This window comes from Homo sapiens, chromosome 5, assembly GCF_000001405.40.
Source record: "Homo sapiens chromosome 5, GRCh38.p14 Primary Assembly".
In the NCBI taxonomy this organism is placed as follows: Eukaryota; Metazoa; Chordata; class Mammalia; order Primates; family Hominidae; genus Homo; species Homo sapiens.
In genome coordinates, this window is record NC_000005.10 from 88,280,039 (window position 1) to 88,299,880 (window position 19,842).

Consider the following 19,842-nt stretch of genomic DNA (forward strand, 5'->3'; position numbering starts at 1 on the left):
TCTTTTTGATCTGAAGACTCATACACTAAAGACACAGTCTCTGCTTCCACATGTAATAGAAAATGAATAGGATAATAAATGTGGACATGTATATTTAAAAAGAGGGAATATTGGAGGTACATAGGTTCACAGAAATTCTGAAACCCACCTGGGCACAGATTGGCAGTTGCTTGGTCAAGTTTCAAGGCCTAGAATTCTCTTAGCTCTGCCTTCTGGGATCTTGGATCTACTCACTGAGTCACCCTTTCTTTTTCTTGTTTACACTTCTGCCTGCTTTCTGCCTATAGAAGCTTGGATGTCCCACAAGCTTCTTTCCATTTGGTTCTCTCTGTGCCTTTCAGTCCAGGCTGGCCATGTTTCTGCTAATAGACTTCTCTTAAAAACTTTGTGGCTCACTTGTGAATTTTGAGTTCACTCCATCAGACAAAAGCAACAACCACACATCTCGTCCCACATAAACTCTGCCTCAAGCTTTTGCTGATGAAAATACCCTTAAACTTTTTAAAAACCTGTGATGTTATTCAGAGATTTTCTGAGACACATCGTTTGTCTGATGAAAATACTCTGAGGCACAACTTAAGATCTTTCTGAGCTATTAAAGGACTTTATAACTACAGCCTCAACTTTATGTTTTACTGGCAGTGCCCTAGATTTGCTTTTTGCTCAGAGATATTCCCCAATTTTAGCACATTTGTCATCTGCACAGGCTGGGAATCTTCAAATCCAGCAAGTTTTGACTTGTTTTTGTTTGTTTGTTTGTAATAGAGTCTGTTTTTTGCTGTGTTGGCCAGGTGATCTTGGACTCCTGGCTTCAAGCATTCCTCCCACCTCAGCCTCCCAAAGTTCTGGGATTTTAGGTATAAGCCACCATGCCCAGCCATGGCTCCTTTTTGTTTAACAGTCCTTACTTTGATGGTCTCTCTTCTCACACATTTTACTATCAGCAACAAGAAAAAATACACATGAAATATTTAACACTTGGCCGGCAATCTCCTTTGCTAGATCAATGAGTTAATTAGGCATTTTTTCTACTTTGTACATATCTGTGGATAACAAATTTGCTAAACTTTCTGCCATTATGTAACAAGGATCTCCTTCCCTCTAGTTTCCAAGAAGAGTTTTCTAATCTGTTAAGATGTCACCTGCAGCCTCCTCAAAGGTTATCTATTATGCTTCTATAAAAAATTTCTTCAAAGCTCTTCAAACTTTCATTAACACTCTCCTCCAAGTTCTACCTTCTGTTCACTGCCAGTTTTAAAACCACACTTACATTTTAGGTTTTTGCTAACACCCCACTTCTGAGTACCAAAATGTATACTGATTTTCTATTGCTGCATAATAAACTGCCCCAAAATACAACATGCAAAGCAATAAATATTCATTATCTCATGTAGTGTCTGAAGGTCAAAAATCCGGAAGCAGCATAGCTGAGTGGTTCTGATTCATTGTCTCTTGTGAAGTTATCAGTCAAACCATCAGCTGAGACTGTAATCATCTGATGTTTTAACTAGTACCAGAGGATACACTTTCACATGCTATTGGCAGGACACTTTAGTTCTTCACTAGCTGTTTAGCAGAATACCGCACTTCCTCACCACATGTACCTCTTCATAGAGCTTCCTGGCTTCCTCTAAAACAAGTAATCCAAGAGAGAAGCAGAAGCCACCATGGTTTTTTATGCCGTTGTTGACCTAGCCCCCAAAGTGACATATTATTACACAGATATGTAGCCAACCTGTGGGTCACTGATACGGTTTGGATGTGTGTCCCCTCCAAATCTCATGTTGAAATGTGATTCTCAGTGTTGGAAGTGGGGCTGGTGATAGGTGTTTGGTTCATGAGGGTAGATCCCTTATGAATGGCTTGGTGCTGTCTTTGTGGCAATAAGTGAGTTCTCACTATCTGAGTTCACACAAGAGCTGGTTGTTTAAAAGAGCCTGTCATCTCTTTTGCTCCCTTTCTCACCATGTGATATGCTGCTCCCCTTCTCTTCTGCCATGAAGAAAAGCTTCCTGAGGCCTTCACCAGAAGCAGATGCTGGTGCCGTGCTTCTACAGCCTGCAGAACTGTGAGCCAAATAAAGTTCTTTCCTTTATAAATTACCCAGCGTCAGGTATTGTTTTATAGCAATGCAGAACAGACTAACACAGACACACACACCAACCAAGTACAGTATGAGAAGGGATTATTGGGTGCCATTTTGGAGGTTGTCTACCACAGGATTTTATCTGTATCATTATTCAAATTTCGTTTTTGAAAAATTTTGTAAGGGCACATTTATAGAAATATGAATGCTTAATATTTGATGATATTAGGGAATTAAACCATTTTTGTGTGATAGTAATTTTTAAAGATTCCTTATCTTTTAGAAATACATATTGAAATATTTAGAGATGTAGTGATATAATGTCTGGGGTATGCTTCAAGATAAGAGTTGCAGAAAGTGGGTGGTAGTATAAATCAAGATTGGTTATGAGTTGAGAATTTTTGAGTAATAGGTATATGGGGACTAAGTATTCTATTCTTCATACTTTTACATGCCGTAAATCCCCACTTATCTGCAGGGAATGTGTTCCAAGACCCCCAGTGGATGCCTGAAACTGAGAATAGTACTGGACCCTGTATATACTGTGTTTTTTCTTTCCTTATTGAGAACTTTTATGTTTTCACTTAAAGGAAGGACTTTACAGCTTCTCTTTCGCATATCCAAATTGCCAGCATCACCGCTCTTGCACTCCAAGCCATTATTAAGTAAAGTAAAGAACACAAACACTGTGATACTGCTACACTTGATCTGATAACCAAGAAGTCTACTAAGTGACTAACAGGTGGGTAGCATATACAGCATAGATACACTGGACAAAGGGAGGACTCACATCCTGGGCAAGATGGAGCAGAATGGCAGAGTTCATCATGCTGCTCAAAATGATGTGCAATTTAAAACTAATGAATTATTTCTGGAATTTTTCAGTTAATATTTTTGGACATGAGGTGACTGCAGTTAACTAAAACCATGGAAAGCAAACCCATAGATAAAGGGATACTATGGTATGTTTTCATTTTCTATAATAAAAAGTTAAAAAGGAAAAAGACACCATAGGAAAATAAAAGACAAGTCACAAACTGGGAAAAGATCTTTGCAACACATGTGACTATCGAAAGGATTAGTATTCACACTGTGTAAAGAACCACTACAATTCAATGAAAATGAAGATAATGCTTTCCACCCCAAACAGGCAATTCATACAGGAGAAAACCTGAAAAGATACCCAACCACAAGGAAATACCATTTCACACCCACCAGATGAACAAAAATGTAAAAGTCTGGCAATATTACAATTCTTATACATTGCTGGTTGGAGTATGAATTGATATAATCAATTTGGGAAACAATATGGTATTATCTAGTAGCTGAAGATGCACATCTTCTGTGACCCAGGAAAAATGTATAGCAGGAGACATGAGCAAGAAAATTCATAATGGCATTTATAACAGTAAAACGTGGAAGAAAATCCACTGTCCATCAACAGTAGAGTGATTAAATACATTGTATATGCTCATACAGCAGAATATAGTGGTGGAAAAAATAAATTACAAGTTCATGGACATAGATAAATCTCTAACAAAATGTTGAGCAAATAAAAATTCACAAAAGAATTTTACAGTAGGATTCCATTTATATAAAGAACCAATGAAAGTAAATAGCCTAAGGGTACAAACATAAGTAAATCTATAAATTAAAGCAAAAGAATGATAAGCACAAATTCAAGGCAGTGATTTCCTCTAGCTACAGAGGGAAGGGAATGAAGTAAGGAAAAGGTGAACAAGGAGCTTAAAAGTATGATAATTATATGTGTTGGTTTGGCCAAACAGTCCTGGTTTACCTAGCACAGTTCTGGTTTGCTGATTGCCTGGTGTAATGATTAATAGCACTGTCACTCCCCAAATTGTCATTGTTTGGATAATGAATTATATGCATCCTTTTTAGAGTAAAAGTAACTTTTTTCTCCTTAAACTGGATGGAGGGCATGTGGGTCTTTATCATTCTTCCTTATACATGTATTTTTAAAATATAATTTAAAACTAGTCAGTATTTTAAAATATAATTTAAAACTTTAGTCAGTGTTAGTCACTGTGTTAGTGACAACACAGTAAAAAAAAAAAATTTGTAAGATAAATAAATATAAATAGGATCCAAATGAAACTCTTTTCATCTGGGTGGATACAGGGATAAATAACATACTATATGCCTGGCATTGTATTAAGCTTGTTACTGATATTACTTCATATTCATAGCAAGACATTTAGGTAGGCATTATTATCTCCATTTTACACATGAAGAATCTAAGACACAAAGACTATACATAATTTAACCAAAGTCATATTATATGTGACAGCGCAGAATTTGAACCCAAGCAGTGTGACATCAGACTACATGCTCTTAACTACCATGCCAGAGCCCATAACAGATTTTCTTAACCTTTTTTATGCCACAGATCCCTTTGACAGTCTGGTGAAGCCTATAGAGTCCTTTTTAGAGTAATGTCTTTTGTACATCAAATATAATGCACAGGATTATAAATAAAATCAATTATACTAAAATATGGTAATCAAAATATTTAACAAATGTATACTATACCTGTACTTTTTATTAATGCATTAAATAAATAATAAAATCTAGCAGGTCTAATGAATAATTTTGAAATAATAATAATAATTGTATCTTGAGATATCTACAAATATAGTAATGTGATAGGAAAATGTTTGTGATTTTGATAAGTGAAAAAGTCACCAAAATACTTGTAATAACACTGTGGTTTTTTGCATATGTTCACAATGGAAAGAAATCCTAAATCTTACTTCGAAGTTAGCAAGAATTACAATATTTTTCCCACCCCAATTCATGGCCCTCTACTTTATGGTCTTATTTCATAGGCTTTCTGACATGTTTTGCTTCAAAGAGGTCCTATTCCCCATCCCATTTCCTATCTTCTGGTTTGGGATTACACTCAAGATGTGATATACAGATAGATTAGTTTATTAGAAAGAAAATATTTTTCCACATGGCGAACTTTAGTGGAGGCTAACAAATCAGAATGTGCTAAAATAGCCATGTGTACATATAGACAATGGGAAGCTTGGAACTGCTTTAGCATTTTATACAAAAGACTTAAAAGTAATTTCAGCTGGGCACTGTGGCTCGGGCCTGTAATCCCAGCACTTTGGGAGGCTAAAGTGAGAGGATTGCTTGAGGCCAGGAGTTCAAGACCAGCCTGGGCAACATAGTGAGACCCTCCCCCCATCTGTACAAAAAAATTACAAAATTAACCAGGCATTGTGGCTCGCACCTGTGGTACCAGCTACTTGGAAGGCTGAGACAGGAGGATGGCTTGAGCCTGGGAGGTTGAGGCTTTAATGAGCCATGATCATGCCACTGCACTCCAGCTTGGGCAACAGAGTGAGACCCTGTTTCCAAAAACAACAAAAACTGGTTTCAAATATATTGCTACATTGGAATTCTCCATAAAGGAATTAATTGTTGATAACAATGCCCTCAGTATACTATTTGTCAATACCTATAACAATGCAACAAACAAAAAAGAAAATTTAAATAGCTGGACCACATTAAAAGTTTTATTGGGCTAAAATCAAAAACATCTGACAAGTTTTTGACTTGTCTTTCTCATGATTTAATGTCCCAGCAGAGCAACTGGGAACCTAATTCTGACCAAAAAGGAGGAATTGTTTGGCTAATTGGAAGTGACAGAAACCTTGGGAGAAAGCAACCGCATACCAAGGATAATTATAAGAAGGTAACATGGGCCCTAAAGGATAGTGTCAAGAAACCTGAAACCCCCAAATGAGGTGAGACTTGCAAAAAATGCTAAGGAAGGACAAAAAACAGGCCTTTTAAAATTCTGTTCAGAACCAGAAGATGATCAAGAAAGGGAAATGCCCACTAGCAGCTTCTACTGTAAGGTTAGAGCTGACAGAGAAAGAACTCCTTAACTACTATTTGCTTCATTCTCTACAAAGGAAACTAGAGAAGTGGGTTGATGTAATAGAAAGAACATGTGTTTGTGGGGCCAGGCAAACCTGGGTTTAATTCTGTTTCAACACTGCTTAACAAAATTTATGGGAGGCTATTGTTTTGGATTGGGCTCCTGCACCAGGCCCCTCCGGACCAAACCAAAATGGAGTCACTCATACTAAAACTCCAGGTCACTGAACCAAAACTAAGTTGTTTATCTGACCTTCCAAGAAATCAGGAGGGAGAAAACAACCAAATCTCCAAACAGGCCAGTTTTAATCAGCGTGATAAGGAAGTCCTCTCTTTTTTAACCCTATAAAGAAAGTAACTTTTTGAAATGATCAATACACTTTGTATTCCTTAGTTCTGCTTTCTTTAGCCCCTTTCTGCCTATAAAGCCCACTTCCTCTGCTCAACTTACTGAAGCAGTATTCCATTTTATAGAATGAGATGCTGCCCAATTCTGGAATCACTAATAAAAGCCAATTAGATCTTTACATTTGTTGAAATTTTGTCTTTGACAACATTACTAGTTATATTATTCTGGGTATCCTTTTCCCCATCTGTAAAATGGACATAGCGATATCCTTCCCATCAGATTTTTCTCATTAATAGAAGTAATACATTCAAAACACTGAGCCAGGCTCACACCAGTGAGCAACTTGTTAATATTACTCAGAAGCATATTATAGATATTGACAGAAAGCAATACTGTTCCTAATTAGGGGAAGAAATTCTAAGAGAGTACCTAAGAGTTTGAATTTAGATTATAACATTTGCTCTGAGTATTTTACATTACAGCCTTTGGGGGGAAAAGTACAAATGAGATCTGAGAACAGTGGTACTCATCTTTGAGGAATTATGGAAAACGTAATAGAACACTAAACATGGGAAAACATCGGCCTTCAGGTTGAAAAGTGGAAATCTCAATCCCTGAATTTTTTTTTTTTTTTTACTAAGTAACTTTTTTGCCCATTGGTGTCATTTAACCAAAAGAAGAAGAAATTCCAAAAAAAAAAAAAATCAACTGAAACAAAAGAATAGACTGAATTTGCCAAAAGAGTGCTTAAATGGAGACCTAAGTCTTCAAAGCTAAGGTGATGAGAAAAGAACAGGTCTTAAATTTCTTCAGAGCTTCAAGAGGCAAAGCTTGAAAGAAGAAAAAATTTTATTCTTAGGTAAGATGTAGGGGTAGAATGGTGGCCCCTGCAAAAGGTAAGCCTTCCTCCTAATCCTAGAATCGTGGATGGTACCTTATTTGGATAAAAAGGTCTTTGCAGATGTAATTAAGAACCTTGAGATGAGGAGATCATCCTGGATTATCTGGTGGACTGTAAAGTCAATGACATGTATTCATATATGACAGAAGAGAAGACATGGAGAAGAGGAGGGAGTAGTTGTGACCGTGGAGGCAGAGAATGGAGTAATGTGATCATAAATCAAGGAATGCTGACAGCCACTAAAGCTGGAGAAGGCCAAGGACAGATATTCAATCCTCCCGTAGAAGTACAGCCCTGCTAATGCATTGATTTTGGACTTCTGGCCTCAGAACTGTAAGAGAATAAATTTCTATTGTTTTAAGCCTTCAGTTTGTGGTAGTTTGTTACAGAAACCCTGTAAAGTTAATACACAGAGTTCAAAGAGAATCCGGTAATATCTCTAAAAGACTCGTGTATTAGTCAGGATTCTCCAGAGAAGCAAAGCCAATAGAATGATACATGTTGTTAAAGCAAATTAAAATGGAGACCATGCCTGAAGAATCTCTGTGCAGAGAAACCCAGTTAGGCCTCATAAGTTAACCTTACTTGATTTGCAAACATAATCTAAAAGTTAACTGGAGCTATTTCCGGTAAATGAATATAACACAACTTAAGCTCAATCAGTCAGAAGCAGCTTTATAATTATGTAGCTAGGGACTTTCCAAGAGGATGACCAAAGAAGGAAATGATATAACTATAACCAAATAAATATTTTCTTTGCTTTCCTGTTCCTCCTATAAAAGCCTCCCCACTGCTGAGCTGTGCTCAGCAGAGCTCCGAAACAACTTCTGGTTTAGAGTTGCCCGATTTGTGAATCACTGTTTGCTCAAATAAACTCTTTAAAATTTTATTGTATCTCAGGTTATCTTTTTTAGATAGATAGATGATATATGATAGATAGATAGATAGATAGATAGATAGATAGATAGATAGATAATAGATAGATAGATAGATTATTTATTATGGGAATTGGCTCAATCACAGAGACCCAAGATCTGCCGTCTGCAAACTGGAGAACCAGGAAAGCCAGTGGTGTAATCAAGTTCAAAGGGCTGAGAACCAGGAGAATCAATAACTTAATACCCAATGTAATAAGGCCTGAGAATGTGGGGTAGGGATGCTAGTATAAGTCCTAGAGTCTGACTACTGCAGAACCAGGAGTTCTGATGTCCAAGGGTAGGAGAAGATGGAGGTCCTAAATCAAGAATAAAGCAAATTCACCTTTTCTTTGCCCTTTTTGTTCTATTTGGGCAGGCCTCCAGTGAATTGGATGATGCCCACCCACACTGGTAGAGCAGATCTTTAGTCAGTCTTGATTCAAATGCTAATTTCTTCACAGAGGCACACAGAAATACTGTTTTATCATCTATCTGGATAGCCCTTAACACAGCCAAGTTGACACATAAAATTAACCATCACAATTAGGTTTTCCTGGGTTGGAAGGAATGGGAGATAATGAAACGGGTGCTGGAGGGTAGAGGAGGTCTGAGGGACTTCTTGGCGGGACTATGTGAACCAGAATGGAATGAGCAAATTACAGACCCCACAGTCTCTGCTCTGACAGAGATTGCCAGAGTTTGAAATAGACCTGATAGGGTTACTACAGGTTACCAGAACCGGGAAGTCATGTGGCAGCCAAGCTAATATCCAAAGATCACCCAAAGAGTATTTCATGTGATCAGGAAGAGTCTCTGTTTAATTGACAACTGCTTCCCACTTCCCATCCCCTTCACGTGTAGCAGGAGTCACAGCTGTCTGTATGCAGGTACTTTACTCGACCCTATCCAAACTATTAATAGGAAAAAGTACTTTCTCAGTAGTCTAAGTAGTCACAAACCCTAAGAAATACAGAAAAGATTATGGACATCTACGGGAGTGCCAGTGATATAAAATGATAATCCATATCACATGGAAACCCTCCCACATAAATAATCTTTATTTGACTAGGACTTTATTCATTCAACTGAGATTCTCCAACACCCCTGATAACCAGCCAGGACCGTGCTGATCCTAGGCAACAATCTAAAAGGAATAATTAAAGGATGCTCTGGGAGCATCTATAAGAGAAAGCAGTAATCAATCGAATACAGCACGGGTTTATCTATAATAATTTCAGTCTAATTTAATTTTCTTTCTGATAGTGTTACTAGGCTAGTCAACCAATAAAATGCAGTAGGTAATATTTTTCTGGGCCCATGAGGTATTACTGACTTTTTTTTTTTTATCATATCCTTGTGAGTAAGTTGGAGGGGTTGGGGAGGCTAGATGGTAGTACTGTCAGGGAAGGACTTAGCATCCAAAGGGTACTGACTCCTAGATGGCAGTCAGCCTCTCCAGAGGTTTTTAGTATAGAATTACAGTCCTCGGTCTTCTGTGTTTCATTGACTTAAAAGAAAACATAGAATCCATATTTATCAAATTTTTACCTGATTCAAAATCAGGAAGGATAGTATTTTTTCCAAACTTTGGAACAGCTTGATGTTGACTCTGGGCTAAATTCTGTATGGGCATAATTAGAATCAATAAAATTTTGAGAGTCTATAACAATATAGGCAGAGTCCAACAAACTAGTAGGATTTTTAAGTTTATTCACTCATTTAGATGTCACAAATTTCTGGAATATCAACTCTGTGTAAATGTCTATGTTAGGCTTTAGAATATGAATAAGGTATGTTAGACTGCAGGAGTTTAAAATCTGGTGAATAAAACAAACTTGTAAACACAAAATACAACAAATATTAATTGTAAGGCATTATTTAGCATTATATTTAGTAAAAAAAACTACAGTTAATTGTATGATATGCACAGGGACTGGCATGTGTGAAACACCTTTAGACATTTAATAAGCTGGAAAAAATAATATTTACCATAAACATATACTACTGGTGCAAACATAAAATAGTAATTTTGTGGAAAGTAATTATGTACAAGCCATACTATTTAATGCAGCAATTTCCTTCTAAGAATCTACTTTAAAAATAATCTAAAATATATTCATGTTATATATATATAAGGAAGTTCATAATCAAATTATTTATAATGGCAAAAAAGTTTAACATGAATGATTAAAAAGATAGTATAGCCATATGATAGTGTCATAATCATAAACAGTTATGTCTCTAAAAAACAGGTGTCTGAAATATTATGTCACATTCTAGAATAGCATGTTATAGTCAACTAGAAGTCTGGGAAAAAATGATTTTTTTACTGTAAAACCTCTTGAAAGTTTTGAATTTTGTGCCATGTTGCGTGTAACACATTCAAAAAATAAACACAATTTTAAAATAAAGGATTCAACTTAAAATTTTAAAAATACACTTACAGATAGTTTTTAATGATATAAAGAAATACTCATGATATACTAAGTGAAAGGCAAGGACATTACATTATTTCTTGCAGCAGTTATGAATAATTGGAAAATGTATTACCTGGCTGTATTACTAGGAATATTTTCTTCAGTATTTTGCACCCTAAGAAATCTAGGACTGGTTTACATAAAAGCAAGCAGAATGATGAAGAAACTCACCTTAAGAACGGTTGAATGAAAATGTAAATGTTTAGCCTGGAATATATATATATATATGAGATCATGATGACTGTCTTCAAGCATCTGACATCCTGCCATGTGAAAAAGTGATCACGCTTCCACTGGAAGGTCTCAGAGGATGGAACTAGACCCATTGGCAGGAGCTATAGCAAGCCATTTCAACTCGATGTCAAAATACTTGCAGACTTAGTCACTTGCTTATATGTCATTTCAGTTCAATGTCAGGAAACACATCCAAAAAGAACAGGGCAAAAAATGAGTGGTTTCCCAGTCACTTGAAAGATTCAAGCATAAATTATCACTTCCTTGATAGGACATTATGGAAGAGATTCAAGCATCAGAAGTGTGGTTTTTGGGTGTGATTCCAGCTGTACGAGAAGCCATTTAATCCCCCTGGAACTTAGTTCTCCATAAAATGGGGACGTTTGACTAAAGTACCTCTATCTCTTTTTGAGTTTGAAACTCTTTTGATTCTGCTTTGGAGTAACAACATTTTTCTCTCTTCCAGATTTATATATCAGCTTTTTATCAGTTGAAATAAACCACCCTGGGCCGGGTGCAGTGGCTCACACCTGTAATCCCAGCACTTTGGGAGGCCGAGGCAGGTAGATCATTTGAGGTCAGGAGTTCAAGGCCAGCCTGACCAACATGGTGAAACCGCATCTCTACTAAAAAATACAAAAATTAGCCCGGTGTTGTGGCAGGCGCTTGCAATCCCAGCTACTCAGGAGGCTGAGGCACAAGAATTCCTTGAACCTGGGAGGTGGAGGTTGCAGTGAGTCGAAACCAAGCCACTGCCCTCCAGTCTGGGCAACAGATTGAGAGTCTGTCTCGAAAAAAATAAATACATAAAATAAATAAGCCACACTGTACTTGTGAAGATTAACTGAGATGTTTAAAACATTATTTGCAAAAATGCAAGACATGATGTAAGTGTAAAGCATTATTATATATCAACATAATTGACCATTAGAAAAATGCAAATTAACACCTCAATGAGATATATCACCAGACACCTGTTAGAATGGTTAAAATAAAAAGTACTGATGATATTAAGTGCTGATAAAATGCAGAGTAACTCGATCTCTCATACATTGCTGATGCTAATGTAAAATGATATCACCACTCTAGAAAACAGTTTGGCAGTTTCTTATAAAGTTAAACATGCACTTACTATACAACCCAGTAATACACCTACTGGATATTCATTCTAGGGAGATCAAAATTTACACCCAAAAACATGTACATAAATGTTCATATCAGCTTTATTTACAATAGCCCAAAAGGAAACAATCAGATGTCCTCCAATTGATAACTGGTATAACCCTATCACAGAATCCTACTGAGCAATAAAAAGGAAAGCACTGTTGATACATACAACAACTTGAGTGCATTTCAAGGCTGTTATGCTGACTGAAATAAAAGCTAATCTCAAAAGGTTATGTATTATGTGATTCTGTTTATATAACATTCTCAAATTGCAAAATCACAGCAATGAAGAACTGATCAGTAGTGCCAGGGGTTAGGGTTGTGGGGAGGGTGTGATGATGAATGGGCAGCGTAAGAGAATTTCTTTGGAGTGATGGAATAGTTTTATATCTTGATTATAGTGATCATTATATTAAACAATTGCATGTGATAAAATTCTATAGGACTGTATGCCAAAAATAACTTAATATGTTTATTTTTAAGGTCTGGAAAGCATGGAAATTTGTATCTTCATTCACTTTTGTTTTCATGGACTCTTTTCATGTTTGAACTTTTCATGGTATGAGCTGTTTTATAATCTATAATATGGAATGTTTCTCATACGAATGTTTTTCTTATTGAAGAATGCCATAGAAATAAGGGTGTGAGGTATACTTACTTGACAGGAGAATTTTACTCCTTTTATTTTATTTACTTATTTATTTTTAAGACGGAGTCCTGCTGTGTTGTCCAGGCTGGTCTTGAACCCCTGGACTCAAACGATCTTTCTCCTTGGCCTCCCAAAGTTCTGGGATTACAGGTATGAGCTACAGTGCCCTGAGAGTCCTTTTTAAAGTAGTGAATGCTCAAACATGGAATTAAATTTAGGCAAAGCTCACTTTTATTTATACATAAAACAACTTCAGCCATGTACCTCATAACGATATTTTGGCCAATGTCTGACCTTATATACAATGGTTGTCCTGTACGATTATAATGAAGCTGAAAATTTTCTATTGCCTAGTAACATTGTAGTAATTGTAATGTAGCACAACCTATCACACGTGTTTGTAGTGATGCTGGTGTAAACAAACCGACTGCATTGCCAGTCTAGTATAAAAGTCTAGCACACACAATTATCCACAGTATATAATAGTTGATAATGATAATAAACAACTGTCACTGGCTTATATATTTGCTATACTATACTTTTTATCATTATTTTAGAGTATATTTAGAGTATATTAAGCAGCCTTAGGCAGGTCTTTCAGGAGGCATTCCAGAAGAAGGCATTGTTATCATAGGAGGTGACAGCTCCCTGTGTGTTGTTGCCCCTGAAGAACTTCCAGTGGGACAAGATATGGTGGTGAAAGACAGTGATATTGATGATCTTGACCCTGTGTAGGCTTAGGCTCATGTGTTTGTGTCTTCATTCTTTTTTTTTTTTTGAGATGGGGTCTCGCACTGTTGCCCAGGCTGGAGTGCAGTGGCGCGACCTTGGCTCACTGCAAGCTCCGCCTCCTGGGTTGATGCCATTCTCCTGCCTCAGCCTCCCAAGTAGCTGGGACTACAGGTGCCCACCACTACGCCTGACTAATTTTTTGTACTTTTAGTAGAGACGGGGTTTCACCATGTTAGCCAGGATGGTCTTGATCTCCTGACCTCGTGATCCGCCCGCCTCGGCCTCCCAAAGTGCTGGGATTACAGTATTTAAGACATTTTTATAAATTAAAAATTTTTTAAATAGAAAAAAGCCTATAGCATAAGGATATAAAGAAAAAGTATTTTTATGCAGCTGCACAATGTATTTGTGTTTTAAACTGTGTTATTATGCAAGAGTTACAGAGTTTTTAAAAATAAAAAGTTTATAAAGTAAAAAACTTACAACACATCAAAAGATAATACACCATGATCAAGTGGGCTTTATCCCAGGGATGCAAGCATAGTTCAACATATGCAAATTAATAAGTGATATCAACAGAATGAAGGACAAAAGCTTTATGATCATCTTAACAGATACAGAAAAGCATTTGATAAAATTTAACTTCCTTCATGATAAAAACTCTCGAAGGAACATACCTCAGCATATTAAGGGCCATATATGGTTAACCCAGAGCTAAAATCATACTGAACAGGGAAAAGCTGAAAGCCTTCCTGCAAAGAACTGGAACAAGACAAGGATGACCACTTGCACCACTCTTATTCAACATGGTACTGGAAGTCCTAGCCAGAGCAATCAGGCAAGAGAAAGAATTAAAAGACATCCAGTTGGAAAAAAGGAGGTCATATATTTTCTCTGCAGACAACATAATCTTATATCTAGAAAAACCTGAAGACTCCACCAAAAAGGGTGAGCATGGTGACTCATGCCTGTAATCTCAGCACTTTGAGAGGCTGAGGCAGGAGGATCACTTGAGCCCAGGGGTTCAAGACCAGCCTGGACAACATAGTGAGACCCCAATCTCTAAAAAAAGTTAAAAACTTTAGCCAGGTGTGGTGGCACATGCCTGTTGTCCTAGCTGCTTGTGAGCCTGGGGTGGGAGGATCACTTGAGCCCTGGAGTTTAAGGCTGCAGTGAGCAATGATCATGCCACTGCACTGTAGCCTGGGTTGTGACAGCGCAAGACACTGTTAATAAACAAGACAAAACAGACTCCATCAAAAAGCTCTTAGAGCTGATAAACAAATTCAGTAAAGTTTCAGGATCCAAAACCAACATGCAAAAATCAGTAGTGTTTCTATACGCCAATAACAAACAAGCTGAAAAATACATTAAGAAAGCAATTCCATTTACAATAGCTACAAAAAAAAAAACTTAGAAATAAATGTAACCAAGGCGGTAAAAGACCTCTATGCCATAAACGACAGAACATTGATGAAAGAAATTGAAAAGGACACAAATAGATATCCCATGTTCATGGATAGAAATAATTAATATTGTTAAAATGACCATACTACTGAAAGTAATCTACAGATTCAATGCAGTCCCTATCAAAACACCAATAAAATTACTCACAGAAATAGAAAAAAAAATCCTAAAATTTGTGTGGAACAACAAAGGCCCTAGGTAGCCAAAGCATTCCTGAGCAAAAATTATAAAGTGAGAGGCATTGCCCAACCAGACTTCAAAATATACTACTAAGCTAAGTAACCCAAACAACATGTTACTGGTATAAAAACAGACACATATACCAATGGAACAGAATAGAGAACCCAAGAATAATCTATCTATTTATAGCCAACTGATTTTTTGTGAACATGCCAAGAATATACATTGGGGAAAGGATATTCTCTTTAATAAATCATGTTGGGAAAATTGGATATCCGTATACAGAAGAATGACACTAAACTCCTATCTCTCACCATATACAAATATCAATTCAAAATGAATTTAAAAACTTAAATATGAGACTCCAAACTGTAAAACTACTAAAAGAAAACACAGAAGAAACACTTCAGGACATTGGTCTACATTGGTCTAGCCAAAGATTTTATGTCTAAGACTTCAAAAGCATAGGCAACAGAAACAAAAATAAATAAATGGGATTATATGAAACTAAAAAACTTCTGCACAGCAAAGGAAACAATCAACAGAGTGAAGAGATGACTTGTAGAGTGACAGAAAGTATTTGCAAACTATTAATCTGATAAGGGACTAATATCCAGAATATACAAGAAACTCAACAGGAAAAAAAAAGTCCCATTAAAAAGTGGGCGAAGGATCTGAATAGATATTTCTCGAAAGAAAACAAGCAAACGGCCAACAAATACATGAAAAAATGCCCAACATCACTAATCATCAGGGAAATGCAGATCAAAACCACAGTGAGATATCATCTCACCCCAGTTAGAATGGCTATTATCAAAAAGGCAAAAAATAGGTGTGGTGGCATGTGTCTGTGATCCCAGCTACTCAGGAGGTTGGGGCCAGGAATTTAAGCTGCAGTGCGCTATGATCACACCTGTGATCACTGCACTCTAGCCTGGGCAACATAATGAGAACCCATCTCTAAAAAAATACTAATAATTAAACATTTTTAAGAAGACAAGAAATAAATGCTGACCAGGATTCAGAGAAAAAGAAACATACGCTGTTGGTGAGAATGTAAATTAGTACAGCTATTGGCCAGGTGCAGTGGCTTACGCCTGTAATCCCAGCACTTTGGGAGGCCAAGGTGGGCAGATCACTTGAGGCCAGGAGTTCAAGACTTGCCTGGCCATCTCTACTAAAAATACAAAAATTAGCCAGGCATGATGGGACACACCTGTAATCCCAGCTACTTGGGAGGCTGACGTGGGAGAATCATCTGAGCTTGAGAGGTGGAGATTGCAGTGAGCCGAGATCATGCCTCTGCACTCCAGCCTGGGTGACAGAGTGAGACTCCATCTCAAAACACACACACACACACAAAAAAAAAACAATACAGCCATTATGGAAAACAGTATGGAGGTTTCTCAAAAACTGAAAATACAACTTCCGTATGATCCAGCAATCCCACTACTGGGTATTTATCTCCCCAGAAGGGAAATCAGTATATCAAAGAGACATCTTCACTCCATTGTTTATTGCAGCACTATTCACAATAGTCAAGGTATGAAATCAAACTAAGCATCCCTCAACAGATGGATAAAGAAAATGTGCTATATATACACAATGGAATACTATTCTGCAACAAAAAGGGAATAAAATCCTATCATTGTAGCAATATGGACAGAACTGGAGGTCATTATGTTAAGTGCGATTAGCCAGGTACAGAAAGACAAATATTGCATGATCTCACTCATGTGGGAGCTAAGAAAGTTGATCTCATGGAGGTAGAGAGTAGAAAAAAAGTTGAGATTAGGAAGGGTGTGGTGGAGTGAGTAAAGTGAGGTTGGTTAAAGGGTAGAAACACAGAAAGAAGGGATAAGTTCTAATGTTTAATAGCATGTAGGATGGCTATAGTTAACAATAATTTATTGTATATTTAAAAATAGCTGCAAGAGAATATTTGAAATGTTCACAACACAAAGAAATAATAAATGTTTGAGGTAATGGATATCCTAAATACATTGATTTGATCCTTACACATTGTATGCATGTACCCCAGAAATATGTATATTTATTAGATATCAATAGTTTTTTAAAAGTTAAAAAGGAACAAAACCATGAAAAATTTATAGTAAGCTAAGATTAATTTATTATTTAAGAAATATTTTTAAAAATACATTTGGGGTAGCCTAAGTGTACAGTGTTTATAAAGTCTACAGTACTAGACAGTAATGTCCTCAGCCTTCACATTCACTCACCACTCACTCACTGACTCACCCAGAACAACTTCCAGTACTGCAAGCTCTGTTCATGGAAGTGCCCTAGACAGGTGTACCATTTTTAATCTTTTATACTGTATTTTTACTGTATCTTTTCTGTGTTTAGATACCAAAGTACTTCCCATTGTGTTACAATTGCTTAGAGCATTCAGTACAGTAACATGCTATGTTTATAATCTAAGAGTAATCAGCTATACTGTACAGTCTAGGTGTGTAGTAGGCAATACCATCTAGGCTTGTGTAAGTATATTCTATGATTTTCATACAACAAAATCACCTAATGATGCATTTCTCAGAACTTATTCTTGTCTGTTAAGCAACATGTGACTGTGTTTTATTCTTATTTTTAAATTTTACATCATCTTTTCAAGGAAACCTCTGGAAAAAAAAATTATACCAAAATTTTCACTGCCCACTCAAAGTGGTCTATTTTTACTGTTTATCTTACAACTGAAGAGACTATCCATGCCTTGCTAAATTCTACTTTAGCTGCTGAGTCTGTCTATATACTTAATAAATTTACTGTCATTCAAATTACATAATAAACATAGGAGCTTACAATTACTTTTCTAGGATAAAATCTATGCAGGAAGTTTGTCTCAAGAGAGGAATTTTTGCTGGGTGGCACATGTCTGTAATCCCAGCACTTTGGGAGGCTGAGATGGGAGGCTCACTTGAGCCCAGGTGTTCAAGATCAGCCTAGGCAACATTGTGAGACTCCATATCTAAAAAAAAAAATTTTTTTTAATAACTGGGTGTGGTGGCATGCACCTGTAGTTCCAGCTACAAGGGAGGCTGAGGTGGGAAGATTGCTTGAGCTCAGGAGGTCGAGGTTGTAGTGATCTGTGATCATACTGCTGCACTCCAGTTTGGGTGACAGAGTGAGACCCTATCTCAAAAACAACATAAAAAGTGGATTTTTAATAAGATAATCCTTATGGATACTAAAATATTAGCTTTCTTTGGGAAGTATAACTTCTGTCAATGAGATTACCAATATTTGCCAATATTTTCAGTCTTCCTGTCTTTTCTGGATATGTAAAATTCTACATTTCTTAGTTCTGCAAGTTGAGCAGGGCCATGTGACTATATCTACCAATGGACAGTGACCAAAGGTGATATGTATCACTTCCATGCCAAAGCATGTAAGAGTCAGTGTATGATTTGCCCATCCATACTGTCTTTTCTGGAACAAAGAGCCCTGAGATATCACATTGAAATGGAGACACCAGGAAAAGGGAGCAATCTGGAATGTTGAGTCACTATGTGAAGGGCTGACATGGAGAAACTCCTGCACTCTTGGCAGATTTGCCTGAGTAAGAAACTGTCATGTGATAGGACTCTCAGATTTTTGTTTAGTTTATAACTATCAGCATTATTCCCTAGCCTATCCTGACAAACAGAATCTGTACCTAACTTGGTTTGTTGTGTTAAAAGTTTTCATGGCCTTTTGTGCTCCCATACATTAGATGAACAGTTGTATATACATTTTCAAATTTTCCAGTAAGGAAGTATTTAATATGATAAACATTTCAATTAATAATTTGTTCTATTAGTCTCTAGTACCAACTTAAGATGTCAAATTTCTAATCTAAATGAACAATACTTTTAATTACATATATAACTTTATCTCATACTTATACCCTGTGTTAATCATTACCAAACAATAGAAAGGGTACATTTTTGTTGTTGTTGTTGTTGTTATTGTTGTTGTTTTGTTGTTGTTGTTTTGAGATGGAGTTTCATTCTTGTCAACCAGGCTGGAGCACAATGCCACGATCTCAGCTCACTGAAACCTCCACCTCCTGTGTTCAAGCGATTCTCCCATCTCAGCCTCCCAAGTAGCTGGGATTACAGGCACGCACCATCACGCCTGGCTAATTTTTGTATTTTTAGTAGAGATGGGGTTTCACCATGTTGGCCAGGCTGGTCTCGAACTCCTGACCTCAGGTGATTCATCCATCTCAGCCTCCCAAAGTGCTGGGATTACAGGCGTGAGCCACTGCGCTGGGCCAGGTACATTTGTGTATGCAGTCTTCTTTTTAAATATTTTTAAAAATATTATTTTAAAAAATATTTTGTAGAGACAAGCTTTCACTATGTTTCCCAGGCTGGTCTCGAACTTCTGGCCTCAAGCGATTCTTTTGCCTCAGCCTCCAAAACTACTGGGATTACAGCATGAGCCATCATGCCCAGCTATACAGCCTTCTAATTTACTAAATAACGTTGATGTGCTTGATCATGTTCCCTGGAAAACAGACCCTGAGAAGGAGATTTGCATGCAGGAATATTTATTCGAGAATGCTCTTAGAATCAACACTGGTGAAATGCAGGATTGAGTAGAGGGAGAAGTTCACTGTGATGTACTTACAATAAAGCCTAAGCTGACCCTAGGATGGCTCTAAAGCTAGAGTGGCACTTTAGAGGCATCCCAAATGAAGGCAGGGGGTTGAACCTCTGTATGTACATCAATGGCCACTCATTTATCTAATGGCTGACTCCTGGAG

General features: G+C 37.0%; 1 long non-coding RNA gene across 4 annotated transcripts in view; it reads left to right on the forward strand.

Annotated features, from left to right (window-relative positions):
- TMEM161B-DT (TMEM161B divergent transcript) overlaps window positions 1-19,842 on the forward strand; it is a 167,793-nt gene that overhangs the window by 11,157 nt on the left and 136,794 nt on the right. The window contains exons 3-6 of one of the 4 annotated variants that reach the window (NR_105019.1): window positions 2,004-2,068; window positions 7,398-7,584; window positions 11,346-11,438; window positions 12,530-12,605. The exons of the other annotated variants lie outside the window; for them this stretch is intronic. This is a non-coding gene — a long non-coding RNA (TMEM161B divergent transcript). The remainder of the gene's footprint in view (window positions 1-2,003; window positions 2,069-7,397; window positions 7,585-11,345; window positions 11,439-12,529; window positions 12,606-19,842) is intronic. 4 annotated transcript variants of the gene reach the window in all.